The sequence below is a fragment of the Homo sapiens genome, chromosome 7 (genome assembly GCF_000001405.40).
Source record: "Homo sapiens chromosome 7, GRCh38.p14 Primary Assembly".
In the NCBI taxonomy this organism is placed as follows: Eukaryota; Metazoa; Chordata; class Mammalia; order Primates; family Hominidae; genus Homo; species Homo sapiens.
Window position 1 is genome coordinate 91,305,299 of NC_000007.14, and position 19,159 is coordinate 91,324,457.

Genomic DNA, 19,159 nt, shown 5'->3' on the forward strand with positions numbered 1-19,159 from the left:
CGTAGTAATTCACATGAGTAGGAAAACGATGAGGATTGGGATGACCTTAGAGGAGGTTCAGAGAATAAGTGTTGTTGGTAGTGACCCAGAAAGATTGGATAGAATTTGAGTTGACAGAGAACAGAGGGAAAGTAATTTAAGCAGGGAGTAAAATGAGCAAAATGCAATGACTGGAAAGCACAAAGCTCATTTCAAATGTGATTTACTTTACAAATATTTTTACATATACAGTCATCCCTCAGTATCCATGGAGGATTGGTTACAGGACCCCCTGCAGATACCCAAATCTATGGATGCTCAAGCCTCTGAAATAAAGTGGGTAGTATTTACATACAATCTATGCACATCCTCCTGTACACCTTTAATCATTTCTATGTTATTTATAATACCTAATACCTTGTAAATGCAATATAAATAGTTGTTATGCTATATTTCTTAGAAATAAGGACAAGAAACAATCTATACATATTCAGGTAAGACACAACCATTTGTTTTCCTTCTCAAGTATATTCAATCTATGGTCGATTGAATCCACAGATGCAGAACCCATGGATAAGGAGGGCTGACTGTAATATCAAAGAAATGTCTGTTATAAAAAATGGAGATAATCTATGCTGAACAAACCAATACCGATAATATTTTTCCAAGACATCGATGAAAGTACAAGCACAATGGAGCTTTGGAAAAACAAAACATACAAACAAAAAAGCCCAAATATTTTATTTTCATTAATATGTTGAAAACTGGTAAGCAGACATATTCCAACTCCAATTCCATTTCTACCTTAATCCCATTGCCCCCAATTTCCCTAAACATTTCTCTGAAATTTCTTTTGAACTGCATTGCATTCTGTACACCATTGTTCTTCATTTCTCAGACTTTACTTGAAGCACATTTGAATCAAATGAGCTCAACATATTTCCATTTACCATTTGTCTTGAGACCCTAATACATTGATTTGCATGTAGCAAGTACTCAAAGTAGTTGCTGTGATTATTATTTTTATTTATAGTTGTATTATTAGCAATAGCTACATTAGTAATAGTCTAATCAGACTGACTCATTATCTCAATTGCTCTTTAAAGTTGGTACCAAATTTAAGTGTACTTTTCAGTTGAGGAAGCTGAGGCTTAGAGAGATTAAATGATTAAGAGATTAAGAACCAAGTCACACTAGTGGCAGCACCATGACTCAAGTTCAGATCTGCCTAACAACAATGCCAGGCTCTTTTTAACTAAACTGACACACATGTTTAAAAATATATTCTGATAAAGGGGTGATTAAAAAATAAAAAATAGAAAGATCATATAGAAATGACTATATTTCAGCCGTACTTCCTATTCCAGTCCCTGGTCAAATAAATCGTTGCAATGCAAAGTGATACATTACACATTATATAAATGTGTGTGTGTGTGAATGTGTATATAAAGGATAATTTGCCTTTCTCACTTCTTGATTATAAAACTTAAAGAATAATTGTTTCTGTGACACACAAACTCTGCACATATTTTTTTTCAGTTTGCACACCCTGGAATGCTCATTTACCTCTCTTCAGCTTGGGAGTTTCAATGTGCTCATAGCCAGCAAAAGTGAGCTTACTGCTGCTGCCTTAAAGTCAGTGCTTCAACAATCTCATAAAAAATTGAAATTTCCACCTTTATTCAAGCTTGTCAGGAAATCTCCCCATAGCCCTCTGTATCTGAAAATACATTATAACTTCTTTAAAGCACCGTGGGAAAGAGTTTTACATTTTTTCAGTTGCACATAAAATCACCTTATGAGCTGCCGAATGAAACTGGTAAAACTCAGTGAATGGGGATGCCTGCTTCAAAATTTCCTTTCTGAAATGGAGCTGCCATATTCCTTGCTTAAATAGTTAGCCTGCTTGTTTTACCTCTTCATTTAACTCCTAAATAGAAATTAGGAATTCTTGAAGACATGCTCATTAATTAAAGTAAGATATAACCACTTCTTACTAGTAGAACTGACACAATGAATATATCCCAAATGTTGCTCTCACACGGGAAGGGTTGAGAGTTGATATGTAATGGTATTGGAGCAAAGTTTTTATATAGTATTAAAATTAACTTGGTAGTAATCCAAACTAGAATATTTTAAACTAAGATGTTAATTCTAATCTTCAGGGCAACCACTAAGAAAATTTAACTCTAAAAAATGATGTAAAATAAACAACAAGGGGATTAAAATGATACACTAGAAAATATTCAGCACAAGGAAAGGCAGTAACGGAGGCGTCAAGGAATAAAAAAGACATGACATATAGAAAATAAATAAAATATGGCAGCTGTAAATCCTACTTTATCAGTAGTAGTATTAAATATAAATGGATTAAACACTCCAATTAAAAGCCAGAGGACTGGCAGGATAGATATTTAAAAACGATTCAACTACTTACTATCTACAAAAGACACATTTTATATTCAAGGATACAAATAGGTTGAAATTAAAAGGATGGGAAAAATGTCATGCAAGTAATAACTAAAAGAGAGCTGGATTTGCCATATTAATATCAGAAAAAAAAGACTTTAAGCCAAAAATTGTTACTATAGACGGATCATTTGATAATGATAAAAGGATCAGTCTATCAAGATGACATAGAAATTATACACATATATGCACCTGACAATAGAACCCCAACATGTGAAACAAAAACTGACAGAATTAAAGAGAGAAATAGGCAATTCGACAGTATTCAATATCCTACTTTCAATAAAAGAATAGGCAGAAGATAGACATGGAAATAGAAAACTTGACCAATACTATAAGTCAACTAGACCTAACAGACATTTGTTGAATAATCAACAGCAACAAAATGTACATTCTTCTCAAATTTATGTGGAACTCTCTCCAGGATAGACCAATATGTTAGCCATAAAACAAGTCCTGAGACTTTTAAGAAGACTGAAATCATGTAGAGCATATTCTCTGACCACAAGGAAACTAATTTAAGATAACAGAAAGAAATTTGGAAATTCACAAATATGGGGAAATTTTTAAAAATATACTACTGAATAACCAATGCATCAAACACGAAATCACAAAGGAAGTTAGAAAGTCATTCTCAGCAAATTAACACAGGAACTGGAAACCAAACACCGCATGTTCTCACTCATAAGTGGGAGTTGAACAATGAGAACACGTGGATACAGGGAGGGGAACATCACATACTGGGGCCTGTCAGGGGGTGGGGGGCCTAGGGAAGGGATAGCATTAGGAGAAATAGCTAATGTAGATGACAGGTTGATGGATGCAGCAAACCACCATGACCATGTGTATACCTATGTAACAAACCTGCACGTTCTGCACATATATCCCAGAACTTAAAATATAATTTTAAAAAAAGGAGAAGAAAATTCAAAAAAAAGGAAGTACTTTCAGGAAGTGTACATTTTATAAAAACAATTATGGGATACAACAAAGATACTACTTAAAAGAAAATGTATAGCTCTAAAACCTATATTTAAAGAGAAAAAAGATCTCAAATCAATAACTTACCTTCCACCTTAAGAAACTAGAAAGAGTAAACTAAACCCAAAACAAAAAGGAAGAATTAAAAATAGATAATTCTCCAAAGGTTAAGAAAATCAGTAATTTTTCTATAAACACAGTGAAAATTTTCATTTGAAAAGCTTATTATAATTTATAAGTACAGAGATCAATTTGAATTTGATTTTATGATTAAAGAAAATACTAGTTCACTGTGTGAAGATTTGAAATTGCCAAAAAGCATTTTAAATATCACAAGCTGGAGTTATCCATCTTTAATATTTTGGCACATTCTCTTCCAATCTTTATTCTAGGCCCATGTACATAAAACTTATGCCAGAGAACAGGAAATATATACATATTTCTATATATTTTGTCACTCAATATTTGATTATAAATTTTCCTGTGTTATTAACACTTCTTTGAAATATTATCAATGACTGTATAATAATGCTGCCTGCAAATGAAGCTTAATTTATTGAACCATTTCCCTGATTTTGGACATTTAGAATGTTTCTGTGTTTTTTCTTTTTTTTTCTTTTTTTTCCCGAGACGGAGTCTGCTGTGTCGCCTAGGCTGGAGTGCAGTGGTGCGATCTCGGCTCACTGCAGGCTCTGCCTCCCGGGTTCACGCCATTCTCCTGCTTCAGCCTCCCGAATAGCTGGGACTACAGGCGCCCACCACCACGCCGGGCTAATTTTTTGTATTTTTAGTAGAGACGGGGTTTCACCGTGTTAGCCAGGATGGTCTGGATCTCCTGACCTCGTGATCCACCCGCCTCGGCCTCCCAAAGTGCTGGGATTACAGGCATGAGCCACCCCTCCCGGCCTCTGTGTTTTTTCTTAGAATAAAAGTTCTAGATGTGGGATTACTAGGTCAATGATTAAACTGCTTTAAAAAACTTTCTCCTGTTGTGATTTGCTTTTCAGAAAGGTTGTACCAATTTGCATTAACACCAGCAGTGTATTGGAATGCCTGTAGAGATCCAAATTGAGTCATACAATATGGCAAGTACTAACATATTACAGAATCAAAAATTAAAATATTTTAATGTCAAGACCATTCCAGAAAATTTAGGACGTGATTTTAAAAATCAATAAAGAAATTACTATTTTCCTTTTCACACATCACCAAAATATTACTAGAGTGAGTTTAAATTTTTTGCTGCATCTATTCATAAAATCTGGAGTTGAAATGGAATTTAGAATCCCTGTGTCTAACTTCTTATTTTATAGACTATTTAACTAAAGCCCAGAAGGATAAAGTGAGTAGCCCAAGTCACACAGCTGTGCCCATGACTTACAGTCTGGTGCACTTTGTTTTTTAAACAACTTAATATTTAAAAATACAAGTAACATGTGAATATACCTCTGTAAAAATTCAAATATTACAGATATATAAATATAAACATATAAATGTACCGATAATATATAATGTGTATAATATACAAATAATATATAAATATATTTAATATATAAACATAATATGTAGAAAATGTTATATGTAATATATATTACATATAAATATACAGATGACCTAGTATATATTTATAATATATTATATATAAAAATATAAAATGTATTATGTATAGATAACTGTATTCATGTATATATATTCACACACACGCACACATGTTCCCTCCATCCCTCATCCTCAATTCCATTCTAATTCTCAGAGCCCTCCAATGGTGGAGATCTTTCCAGACATTTTCTAAATTCTTAATCTATAAATTTAAATTCGTATTATAGTTTATCTTCAACTTATTTTTTTCTTTTCTTTTTTTCACTTAACAATATGTCATGTACTGAGGCCTTTAAGAAGCTGGAGGGTGGGAGGAGGGAGAGAATCAGGAAAAATAACTAATGGGTACTAGGCTTAATACCTGGGTGTTAGAATCATCTGTACAACAAACCCAACCCCCATGACACAAGTTTACCTATGTACTTGTACCCCTGCACTTGTATCCGCGAACTTAAAAGTTAAAATAAAACTTAAATATTTTTTAAAAATGTGGAGGTCTTGTAACATAATATGGTCATATCATAACTTATTTAACCATTCTTTTTCGAAGAATATTTGATTTGTTTTAATCTCTTGCTTTCACAAATGATGCTGCAATGAACATTTTGAATGTACATTTTTATGCACATGTGCAAGTGTTTCTGTGGGATACTCAGGTGTCAAATTGCTGGGTCAGTGATAATGCGTATACTGCCAAACTGTCCTACAAACAGGCCATCCTCTAACCGTTAGTGTGATAGGCAGAATAAAGCCTCCTCCCAGACATATCCATGTCCTAATCCTGAGAGCCTGTGACTATGTTACCTTGCACAGCCACAGAGAATTTGCAGATGGGATTAAAGTTAAGGACCTTCAGATGGGGGAATTATCCTGGAGTATCTAGTTGGGCCCAATCTAATCACATGAATCATTAAAAGCAAAGAATCTGTCTCAGCTGTGGTCAGAAAGGGGGCGGTGACTACAGGAGAATGATCAGAGGGTTGCAACATCGCTGGCTTTAAAGATGCATGATGGAGGCCAGGAATGCTGGCGTCCTCTGGAAGGCAAGAAAACGGGAAAGGCAAGTAAATGGAAAAGGCAAGGAAGTGGAAAAGGCAAGGAAATAGATTCCCTCTAGAGTCTCCAGAAAGGGATACAGCCCAGTCTGACACCTTTATCTAAGCCCAGTGAGATTCTGTGGGACGTCTGATCTGCTAAACTATAGGATAGTAAATTTGTGTTGTTTTAAGCCACTAAATCTGTGTCAGTTTGGTACCGCAGTAATAGAAAATAAATAAAATTGATGTTAGAGAATACTCATTTAAAAATCTTAGCATTAGATGTTATCAGTCTGTTTAACTTTTTCAAATCTCATAGTCAAAATTGGTGAGCCACTGTTGCTTTCATTTGAATTTCCCAGGTTACTGATGACACTCAGCTTTTTTTCATAAGTTTTTGACCTTTCGAATTTCTTTTGTAACTTGGCAGAGAAGTATCTGGGCTTATTCTTCTGTTGGATTGTTTGACATTTCTGATTAACTTGTAGTCTCTTTTAAATGTTTGCATTCTTATAGTAGAATTTTGTAGCCTTTGCTTGTTAGATGTGTGCCAAATATTTTTCCCCAGTTTGTCACTTGTTTTATTTTCTCCACACTCATTCTACTTTACCAAGTTGCTTGGTCTGCCTCTTGATTTCCTAGCTCATCCCCTAGTGTGGTTTGCGGGTAAGCACTGACTGCATGTCACATGCACAAGAATGTTGTTGAAATGGGAACCATCTATGCTGGTGGACTCTGCCAAGGTTGAATAGATCAAAATGCCACCTAACTCTAGGGAGGAGAGGTGGAGAGTTTTTTAGTTTTTGGGTTTTAAATATAGGAATGGTACAACATGGTAAGTAAGGTTGCTTTCTTTAAAGAAAATAATCCACAGATCCTGTAAAATCAATGAACTGAAGTTAACAGATTGATTCAGAATGTTGAGTTTTTTTCCTCAGAGTTGACATAACCTGCTGTACTGAACAAAGTGGTGTTTTGTCAAGCACTTGGCCAGCATGTGTGTTAGGGCTAGCTCCATTTGGTTCTTATCCTATTCTGTTCTCACTAAACCAAAATTTTTTTTCAAAAATGTCTAGGGTCTTAGGAGAGTTGGACACATTCAAAACACAATATGTGATTAAGAAGATTAAAGATTAATACTTATTGATGGATTACTATGTGCCAAACTTCCAACCGAATCCTGACAACAATTCCTTAAGGTGAGTATTTGTTGTCCCATTATAAAAATGAGAAAACAGGCTCAGAGAGTGAGCAGCTTACCCAAGATACCATTAAATGATAGAACCTGAATTTGAACCTCAGAAACCAATGCTCTTAAGCACTATAACAGCTGAAAACTAATTTTAGCCATCCTACAATAAAAATTCTCCAGTAAACTGAATTAGTAAAGCATTCTGAATTATACCATTTTTAGATGCTTTTCAGAATATTTATAGTAACTAGGAACTAGGCTACAAAGTGTCCAATGGAAGAGTTGTTTTTTTTAAAAAAAAAAACTTGATTGAATAGATAACAGTGCTTTACAATTAGTCATCAGTTTATCAGATGATTACCTGCTGATGGATGCTTCTGAAATAGTGCATGGTTCTTGAAAAGTAGCTTTCCCCATTTCTCTGCAATCTTATTTACCCTATAATTTGCAAAATAAATCTTTTATTTAGAGATAACACAGAAACTTTATTATAGCTCCTATATGATTTATCTCAAATTCTAGATTTGTGGAATCCAAATTAAGGAGTTTAACTGTTAGGTCTTGCATTTCTGGTTTCTCTTCGACATGCCTATACGAGGAAAAGAAGGCAATCAGCTTCCAATGTGGCAGAGAGTGTACTAACTGCTTTCTGGAGAGAAAAATATATTCTGGGGACATTTATAGCCTGTTCAGCAGCTGTCAGAAGGTCCTAGGGCTACAGCAGAGCCATGAGGCTGGCCCTGCCCTGGAGTCCTCCGGCCCCTGGGGCTGGGGAGTGATCCAGAACAAGCCCACGCAGAGCCATAGCAGCATTCAGCCAAGGCTGGCATTCCCCCGCTTATCTCACAGAATCAGGGTCTCTGCTCACAGAAAAAGCCCAATCAACCTCTTCAATAAAATTCCTTTCCCAGTATCTTTCCAGAAGAAATTAACCACTTTATTGTCCAGAAATACACAGGCTGCATTTTGATCAAATAATGGAAAAGGTGTGTGTATGAGAAGGAGAGATTTGGTAGGAGTTTGGTTTTTTGAAAAATCCCATTTCCCACAGTCCCCATATTTGCTTATTTATTTATTTATTCATTTATTTTTGAGACAGAGTCTGGCTCTGTTGTCCAGGCTGAGTGCAGTGGCCTGATCTCGGCTCACTGCAACCTCTGCCTCCGAGGTTCAAGCAATTTTCGTTCCTCAGCCTTCAGAGTAGCTGGGATTACAGGTGTGCGCCACCACACCAGCTAATTTTTGTATTTTTAGTAGAGATGGGGTTTCACTGTGTTAGCCAGGCTCATCTCAAACTCCTGACCTCAGGCAATCCACCCACCTGGACCTCCCAAAGTGCTGGGATTACAGGCGTGAGCCACTGTGCCTGGCCCATATTTGCCTATGTAAATTACAGTATCAATAGTAGTGGACATACATTGTTTCCTAGAATCCATTCTGCCTTTGGGGAACCACCACTCCCTACTCTGTGCCCCCACTGCTTCTCAGGATCGAAGCGGGAGCTTTGCTGGCCAATGAGAATGAGCCCTGGCCCCACTTACTGCCTCAGGGAAGGGTTTGGGGATCAAACTGGCAGGGTTCTCCCTGAGGTTCCTGCTAGAGCTACTAGGAAATTCTATGTCTTGCTTTTGCAGATCATTTTGTTAGAAAGATCTGAAGTCAGCTTATGAATGGCTGAAGTTTTTTAGTTACACGAGGGAGGTGGCTATCTGGAATGAAAAGAATGAGGGCAAAACACAGAGAGAAGCAGAGTTGGTGCAGAGACAACTCTGAAGACATCACCTGAACCCCCAGATCCAGCTGCCCCTAGGGCCAGCTCCATCCATGGTTTCCCAGTGACACGAGTCAAATCATCCCTTTTGGCCTAAGCTAGATTCTGCTCAATTCTGTTGTTTTCAGTTAAGGTCTCTGAGTAAGACATTTTTCCGTGTATATTCAAACACCTATACTTTCTTTCCCCTTTTACAAAATAGGGTCATCCTATACATATTGCTTTACAACTTGCTTTTCAACTTAATGTGTCACTGGCACTTTTCCAGATAGTACATTTAGAGCAACCTTGTTTTTGTTTTGTTGTTTATTTTAAACAGTAGAACATGCCATATGAACACATCGTTCCTCTATTTATTTCTACTCATCAATGAGTGGACATTTTGTTGACTTCCTAGTTTTTTTATATTACAACTCAGTCTGCAATATACATCTTTAAAAATTATCTTTAGGCATTTGAGCAAGTACTCTTATAAGATAAATTCATGGCAATGGCATTTCTGAGTCAACAATTTTATAAGGATTTTCATAGAAATTTTATAGAAATTGCCAAATTGCCCTCCAGGAAAGTTATGTCAATACTAGGCATATATTTTTAAAAACTTCCTTTCCTATATGCTAACCAAGCTGTGAGATATTATTACTCTTTTTTATCTTTGGTAATCTGAGAGGTAAATATATCTCTTATTGTTTTTAGATGTGATTATTTAAATTTTAGTTAGACTCTTTTCTTCTGTTTAATGGTTATATATATTTCTTTATCTGGGACATGCTTGTACAAATCCCTTGCCCATTTTCTCCTGGGATGTTCATATTTTTCCCGGTGATTCATAATAACTTGTTATGTACCAGTACACTGCCTGTCGTATAGTGTCATTTTTTCCCAATTTGCTTCATTTTTAAAATTTCTTATTTATGATGTCTTTTACCAGGCTGAAATTTTAATTTTCACATAGTATATAAATATTTTCTTCTTTTGTTCATTTAAAAAACTCAGTAAGGTTATGAATCTACTTCTAACATTTACTCTCAAGTATTTTAATAGCCTCCAATAAAGAATTTAAGTTTGTTGGCTAGAAGATTGTGTGCTAATACATTTCGGCTACTAGATGTAATTGGTAAAAATTTTGTGAGGAAATCATTGTATGTCTCTTTTTAAGTTGTTCTATTTCCATCTGTGACATTATTTTGACTCTGAACAAGTGTTTGTAGCACATTTTTCTATTAAGTAATGATTGGCAGTTGAGACGGGGGATGGTCAAGGTTTCTAGCTCATCTCTACACCATCTTGGTGAATGATCTTGGGTGAACCAAGTAAGCTTTCTAGTTTCGTCTTCTACATTTTGAAAGGAGTGGGTTAGATGACATAAGCTCAGAACTGTTCTAGCACCAAACTTTCAAGAGCCTGTGAATTCTTTGCTCGTATTTTTTAAAATGTAAATCTTATTCTAATTGATACACCATTTTCTAATACACAGTAAATAGTACTTCATAGTTTCTTTTTAGAGTGTGTTTTTGTGGAGAAAGAATGAATGAAGAGGATTACATTTATTAAGTGCCTACCAGGTTCCAGGTACTATACATATATTGGTTTATTTAGTCTCCACAACAAACTTTTGAGATGGAAAATGTAACTCTGTTTTATAGATGTGGAAACTGCAGTTCACTGAGGTTGACATTTCCGGGTTCATACAACAAGGATGGGGTAAGCTGTGATATCATCTGATCTTCATGATTTTTTTATGTAGGTATTATAGATATTATCTTCTTTAGCTATTTTTGTTGATAAACTAAACTTATTATTGGTTTCTTTAATTTTTTTGAATAGGTAAATTATTTCAATGAATATATTTGGGCACATGTGAAATTGTATATATAGAGAGTATATATACAAATTGTATATATATACATAATTGTATATATACACATAATTGTATATATAAATGGTATATATACATAATTGTATATAAATGTATATATAATTGTATATATAATTTGTATATATACATTTATGTATATATACAAATTATATATACAATTATATATATAAATGTATATATGTACAAATTATATATATAATTGCATATATACGCACACTTTTTTTTATGCCAACATTGTTTTTTAAAATAAATTTCTTCCATTCTTACCTTTTCAGTCCCCAAACCCAAGTATCTCCCACTGTCTGCTTTTGTTTTCTGATCATTACTAAAGTAATTCCCCAAACAGCTTCACTGATTGCCCCACAAATTCACACTAGGTCCTTGGTGCTGCTCAGGAATGCGTTTTATTATTCACCATTGACTTCCTATTGAATTTCCCAAAGCAGAATTTCCCAGACCTTAGTTTCTTTCTCTATATTTGAACCTAGCACTTGCTTCCTTAATCTCAATAGGTGGCACTAACAAAGCTGACTTGGAATCCTCTGATGGATATTCCTTCCATTTCTCTCTTGTTCAAAATGTTACTTTTTCCTTCACATTGTTTTCCACCTGAGTTTCTGAGGAAATTTGTATTCCCCTTTGAGCAGTGCTAACCCTAATTAATCTTACTACATACAAAAAAAAACCAAAAAACCTAAGACAGACACTTTCAATTGCTCACAAAATACCAATGCTGTCCTTTTCCCTCAAATTAACACAACCCTAATTTTTAGCTGAGTTCATCAATGTCTAGTTAAAAGTTCTATACCTATGTAACAAAACTGCACGTTCTGCACATGTATCCCAGAACTTAAAAAATATATGTATAAATACAAAATTCTTTACGAAAATACAAAAGCTTCTCTACAAGCTAGGTAGGGCTACGTGACTGAGTTCTGACCAATGAAACATAAGAAGTACAATTTGGCAATTTCTGGAATATTTCTTTTAAAAAGAGGTTGTGTACCCCCTGTCGTCTACCCATCCTGCTGCCTGGAATGCTGGGATTACACACATGTAACCACGTGGCTAATCACAGTTCTTAGAATGTGTTTTGGTTATTTATTGCCATGTGGTTCAAATCAATGATTTTATTATTTCTTACGATTCTGTGGGTTGACTGGACTCAGCTGGGTAGTTCTTCTTCTCTGTGTGATGTCATTTGGGGCTGTATTCTTCTGGGGCTAGACAGGAACATCCAAGGTGGGCCAAACACATAACTGACAGCTGGGGCTGACTTGCAGTTGGGGCTGTCAACCAGAGTGCCTCAGCTTTTCTCCACATGGCTCCTCACATGGTGAGACAGTTCCAAAGGGCAAGAAGTAATGCTGTTAATTATTTTAAGGCCTGACCTTGGAAGCCTTATAATATCATTTTCCCTATATTCTAATGGTCAAAACAGTCCCCATAATTAAGAAGTTGGGGGAGCTTATGCGTATAGTACAGAGAGGAATTGTCAGGGCCAACTTTGGAGACGAGCTACCACAGACCATGATGATAAGAGTCACCCAAGGAACGACAGGGCTTAGAACCCAAAGGATTCCATAGTTGCCATTTAGTGCCCTGAACTTTTCTTATGAGAGAGCCAAATAAGTTTCCATTTTAGCAACTTCTATTTTTGGTTGTCTCTCACATAAAGGTGAACCCAATCCTAATGAATACATCAACTAAACAGCAAGTTACCCAACTACACTCCTTGACTTTGCAACCCTATCCAGTCGCTACCGACTTTACTTCTTCTCTCTCACCATTTATCCCTTTATTTCAGGGTTATTTTTCATGAGAATTCCTCAAGCAAAGGTAATGACTAAAAGGAGAGAGAGGGAGGGAGAACAGGGAAGGTGGGCTATCTGGAGAGATGGCACGGGGTCACTGTAAAAGACTTATCTTTGTGTTATTAAGGCATAAGTGATCCAATTTAGGGACAATCAAGTCATTTCTGTATCAGTCAACAAGATAAAAAATAAAAATGCTTAATATCTGTTTAAATGAGAAGATCGGGACTTAGGTCAGTTATATAAATACAGTCATTGGAACTCTCCCACACTACTAGTGGGAATGGAAAATGGCACAACTGCTTTGGAAAACAATTTGGCAATTTCTTAAGAAGTTAAAAATATACTCACCTATGACCCAAGAGGAAAGAAAGTGCATGTTTATGCAAAGATTTTTACATAAATGTTCCCAGCAGCTTTATTCATAATAATCAAAAACTGGAACATCCCAAATAGCCATCAACAGGTAAATGGATAAACAAACTCTGGCACATCTATATGATGAAATAAGAAGGAATAAATAGGAATGTCTGGAATACTAGGAATAAGTAGAATTAACTGTAATAAAGAATAAAGGATGATAACACACAACATGGGTGATTCTCAAAATTATGCCTAGTGAAAGAAGCCAGGCAAAAGAGAGTATAGTATATTGCATGATTCTATTTACATAAAATTCCATATTAGCAGGATTCATAGTGATAGAAAGGCAATCAGTGGTTGTCTGGGAAAGGAGGGATTCATGGGGAGGAAAGGATTATGAAGAGGCATTAAGAAACTTTGGAAGGTGATGGATGTGTTCACTATTCTGATTGCAGTGATGGCTTCATGGATGTTTACATAAGACAAAACTTATTAAATTGTACATTTAAATATATGCAGCTTATTTAGGGTCCATTAAACCCACAATAAAGTTGTAAAATTAAAAATGGATATATTCAGACAGAATTTCTTTAGATTTAACGGAATAGATAAATGTACTAATCATGAAGACAACTAAGAGCCAACTTCTTTTAAAACAAAGACTTTATCAAGTTTCCAGGAGTTTTTTTTAGTTTTTAATGGACAACTCATTACTTATGTCTAAAGAAAGCACTTCTTACTTAATTGTAGCATGTACATACATTTTCCTATATCATATGTCTCTTGCATTAAAATTTTTGATTAACCTCATGATGACTTCACTGACATTACCTAAAGTGGTGAGAAATTAATCTCTAAGGCATACAGAGGAATGTTGGATGTGTGGAATTCTTTTTAATCCAAAAAATGAAAAGCACTTAAGATTCTCTGCCCAAGATGTGCTCTTAGAATAATTTTACTCTGATATTGGTTGCAAAAAAGCATTTTTATTTTTTTTAAAAATAATGCTTCTCAGCTTTGACTGACAGATATTTTAAACATGACCTCTCCCATTCTGTTTTGAACGATGATTTGTAAGTAAATATCTCATACTCTTTAAGTTCAAATGATAGCTGCCTCTGAGGCAGTCATGCATGAGGACACGTGTGGTGTGTATTCTGCTGGCACTACCCTTTCTCCACACATTTTCAAAATTTCTCTTTGGTAGAATCATCGCAGAGCCAGAAGGAAAATGGGTCTCTTCATTATAGTTACAAATCCCCAAAATGTTATTATCCAGTTTGATGGTCTACTTTATCTACCAGACCTCATTTCACATCATTTCAGACTATTTCTAAAAATCCCGAAAATTAATCCCTCCCTCCAAATAAAACTTTGTAACAATATTTTGAAAAAAAAAATTCTACCCTTATTTAACTAGTAGGTTACTTGACCAATACCCTGCTACAGAGATGTCTTTTTAAATTTTCACCAGTAAAGAAATAAAACATTTTCTTACATTCAATTGTCACTAATACATTGGTTCTTTGTGGAGGTATCAACACGCACACACACACTACACTACAATATAGTGTCAATAAAAATAGAAATCAACCACATATTTCACTAAGATCATGATCCTAAAAATGATTATCTCTAGAGAACAGTATTTAAGAGGACACTGTCATTTTCAGACATGTTTTAAAAATCAAACTCATTTTGTAGCAGAATTACAGAATAATGTTTTAATTAAATTTGTTTCTCAAAAACTATCAGATTTTTATTTCTTTTGGGGGATACTTTGACCAGTTTGTTGTTCAGTTCTACAAGTTAAACTTTGTTGCTATTAATAATATTAGACATATTAAGAATATTAGAGAGATTGCATTAATTGCTTTTTCATCTCAAAAAGACATGGGAAATTTTGCTAAACAGTCATCTTTAAAGGCATGCAATAATGACATCCCCATAAACATCCTAAGAAGACACTCAAAGTACCAATAATGTAATCGACAGGCATATCTTGCCCCTTCTTAAAGAGCTGAGTAAGTTAAAACTGATGTTAAAGAACACATAATACATTGAAGTTGCTATATAGAAGGGTTCAATATGTCCAGGGCCCTGTTTAAATAATTAATCTGTGTGCTTACACAGACTGTGAGGCTTAGCAGCAGAAACCAGGCCAAGGGATGTCTCAGCAGAGACTTTCCAGCAGAAAGTTCTTTAAAACAATGCTCAGGCCTTTAACATAGCAGACTGAAAACGCTCTGCTTACAGAGCAGATGGTTATGTAAAGACAATGCTCAGTTTGTGGTGAAGTCCTAAAACCAAGATTAAATCAAGACTACAATGGCCACAAGTTTTACAAAAACCATAAAATGTGGATCACCTAGCTTGCAAGACATTTTATGTAAGGTCTCTATGTCCTCTCCTTTTGAAGGATGAATGACTGTAACTGCAGACCTTTACAAGGACAATGAGAGCTCCTAATGGAGGCGCTAAGGCAGCTGGCCCAGAGGCAGTAAAGTTGGCAACCTCATTGGCTCCCCTTGAGAGTCCGGCCCACCACAACCATTCTTTTAGATATGCATGGTCACTTAGATCTGCTTTCATGGTTCCTATCCTGGTAAGAGACCTTGTTTTTGTTTATTTCAAAGTGTACTTCTCCCCACTAAAAATGCTGGAGCTCAGAGACAATACCACACCAATATAAAAGTCATTTATTCCATGCCTTTGGATATAACATTTGTTACTAAAGAAATGTCCATGAATAACACTGATCACAGAAAAAGAGAAACTGTTATATTAGAAGTAATGTGATTCAGTCTTCAAATCTGAGACTTTCCCCATGCAGATTTCATGGGCTACTATAGCCTCCACCCCCCATTCCCCTGCCTTCATCTACATCCAGTGGGAAGTAAGCACCCTGTGGGCTGCAGCTGGGCTCCTCTCTGTGGGGTGTTCCAAATTGCACCTACTCAGGATGATCTCTGGCTGCCTTTGCTGCCTCATCTCATCTTAGCAGTGGCAACTTGCCCTTGACCTTGTAATAATAGATGTCAGTAAATATATATTCCATGGCTGAATGAATATGCCATTGACCATAATGCTCATTTTAAAAGAAGGAGGTTCCCATCAAGCATGTAGCTTCCCAGAGTGATTACATAAAAGGTGGTCTGAACTTGTATTTGTGTGTGTATAATTCAGTGGGCCCAGTGAAATCTGATTTTAGTATGATTAGGCCATAAAATCCCAACCCAGGAGGCCATAAAGGGAGAGTTATCACAGAATGCCACCTTCATCAAGACACTAACCTTTCAGAGTTGTTAATGTCCAATTGTGAGTATAAGGAAACAGAAGCTGTCAGTCATTTTCCCTGAATGTCAACGCTCTGAAAAATGACTAGGAACGTTTGTCTTTTCCATCTTCCCTCCCTAACTTCCTCTGGTAATACCTAGTACCACCACATAGAAGAGTGAAAACAAAAAAATCTTAATGAGATGTTCTTCTGCCCAGAAACACTTCCAAGCAGAATTTAAAAGAGATCAAAGACTAAAAACTTTCATTTCTTTCTGGTTCTTTTTTCAGTGGCTTGTCTCCTATTTTCTTGTGGTCAGCACAAGTCCTCTGTATGCTTCATGGAGCCTCACTGTGTGTCTCCCAGCCTGAAGGGATTATGTCCTTGAATGATGAGATAGCTCTGTGTCCACACTGTTGGACCTCTGGCCTCTTCCTGTCAGGGAGGTGGCAGGGAAAAGCTGCAGGTCGTGTACTGGCATAGAAAATGGAGGTGCCTTTTGCTGGCATTGCTCTCTTGTAGTTTGTAATTGTAAAATGAAACTCGCTGTGTTACTAATCCAGAAAGGCAGCTGGAATTTTCATGTCTGCTATAAAATGCCCTGTTAATGTCATATTGGATTATATTATAATAGTGGGATAAAGCCTTCAATGAGTTATCTCAGCCACACTGCAGATGGTAGAGTAAAACAAAGTGGGCTAGGAGGTAAAAACTCGGAGAAAAGCGAGAGCACTGAATTAATGAACCATGTTCAGTTGAAGAATTGCATTTGGTTTGCTGTCTGCTTCACCATGTAGTCTCTACCAAAGGACCATGTGACACATGAACCAAGCTTATTGCACCTGTTTGGATTGACTTTGTTAGTATTTTCCATGTCAAATGTGCCTATAAGGAAATAACCTTCATTGTTTGCTGTCACTGAGAGGCTCTGTCCCTATAATTGTTCTTCTCTACGGTGTCATTCTCAGGGATGGGTTGGGGGAGAAGGCAATATTTTCCTTTTACTTCATCTCTCCCGAAGAACCTAAGAGAGCGACTCAAACATACTAGCTGTTCATGTAATATGACCTGTGGTTTTTTACTCTTTATTTAAAAGCGCTAACCTGGGTCATCACTCTCAGGAAGGATTGGTGAGATAGAAACACTGTCGAGCTTTTGGATGGAAATCCTGTGTGCAAATTCAGGTTCTGAATTCAACAACTTTATAAATTCTGTCAGCTTCACTTCCACATTTGTAACCTGCAGGGTATGTTACCCCCCTCAAAGAGTAACAATCAAGTGAGATAATGGATATGAAAATACTTTATATGTAGGAAAAGAGATGTAAAAACAAGGCTTTATTATTACCCTCTAGACCAATGATTCCCAATTTAGCTGATAATTAGAGATATCTGGGAAGCTTATTAAAAATGTAGAATTCTGAGCCCTTATGTAGACCTATTGAATTAGCATCTCTGGAGATGAGTCTTGGAAATCTGTACTTTTACAGCTTTGTGAGCAGTTCTGAAGATCACTCAGGCTTGGGAATCACAGCACTAGGGTTTGAATTTCTTGAAGATGGCTACTATGTATCTGGGCATTTTGAAACCTCTGTACTTAGAACATGGTACTTACGTAACCAAATACAAATATTTACTAGGGCCTACTGGGTGCCAGGCACCATGCTAGGTACCAGGAACACATGCAGCTGTATACTCTTAATTCTTTTAATGTGGGGGTTGCAAGGAAAATACAATAGTTTCAATGCAATGTGCTGAGTACTGTCAGAGAGGTGGAGCATTGAAGAGTTTTAAGCAGTCCTTTGTGATATAATCTGTTGTTGAACCTATCAATCCTGCCTTTATGTTTGATGCCTGAGAATATTCCATTTTCAATGCTTTGTTATAGGCAATATTTCCTGCAGAAAATAGTAAGAAGCTTTAATGAAAAAACTTAGTGCATTTTCACATTGGTCAAGTTTCTTGTTTCTTCCTACTCAGTTTCCTTGGACACGTGCAGTATGTTCATTTTTCCACAAACAATGTATTGGAGACAAATGCTAGTGGAGATACAAAGTCTAAACACCACAGGTGCAGAACATGAGATGCCAAAGGACATGCCAGGAGTGGGAAGAGTGAGAAAATAGATCCTCTGGGAAGTATCACTCCACGGTGAAATGAGCTATTAAAACATAAAGAAACTGCAAGAAGGAAAGTTAAAATTCCAATATCTGTCTTGGGATGTGAAGTACAGAAATGTTCTTGCTTCAACCCAAACATGGCCAGCTGACCCCAGTGTCTGGCTGACCCTAGCATAGCTGGCTGACCCAACTTTTGCCTATCCCTTGAACTAAACTTGAACCTTATGTAAGCTCTGAAGTCATTCAGAAGATCATTTGAAAATATTTTCCCCTCTTTGTCTCCTGGTTTGCTCTGGGACTGCTCTGGGGAGAGCTGTGTGGAGCTGAGGGGTGAGAGCTCAATTTTTTAATATTTGTAAGTGCTTTTATAGCCATTTCCCTGTAAGTGTTGGCCAAAGAAGGATCAGTGAGCATTAAGAGACTCCTTGATTTGTTCTTGGTGGTATGAGCACATGCAGCTTCCCACTGAGGCCATGTGGTAGGAGAGGATGCCCAGGACGCAGACTTAGAAGTCGTTGTTGAAGTGTCTTGCTCTAAGAAGCCATTCTAAACATGTGCTGAATGAGCGAAGGAGTGAACAAATGAAGGTGTTCAAAGCAAAACTTAAGACAAATTAAATTTAATAGAGTTTGACTGAGCAAAGAATGATTTGCAAATTAGGCAGGCCCCCTGAACCAGA

General features: G+C 36.3%; 1 long non-coding RNA gene and 1 pseudogene across 3 annotated transcripts in view; one reads left to right on the forward strand and one right to left on the reverse strand.

The window, feature by feature from the left end:
- The first annotated feature begins 6,026 nt into the window (after window positions 1-6,026).
- The window catches only part of LINC02932 (long intergenic non-protein coding RNA 2932), a 204,101-nt gene continuing 190,968 nt past the window's right edge, over window positions 6,027-19,159 (forward strand). For 2 of the 3 annotated variants that reach the window (NR_183366.1, NR_183367.1), the window contains exons 1-3: window positions 6,027-6,088; window positions 7,142-7,264; window positions 10,675-10,732. This is a non-coding gene — a long non-coding RNA (long intergenic non-protein coding RNA 2932). Of the gene's footprint in view, window positions 6,089-7,141; window positions 7,265-10,674; window positions 10,733-15,503; window positions 15,690-19,159 lie in introns of all 3 variants that reach the window. The other variant, NR_183376.1, reaches the window with a different exon arrangement.
- On the reverse strand, window positions 14,701-15,896 carry NIPA2P1 (NIPA2 pseudogene 1; annotated as a pseudogene).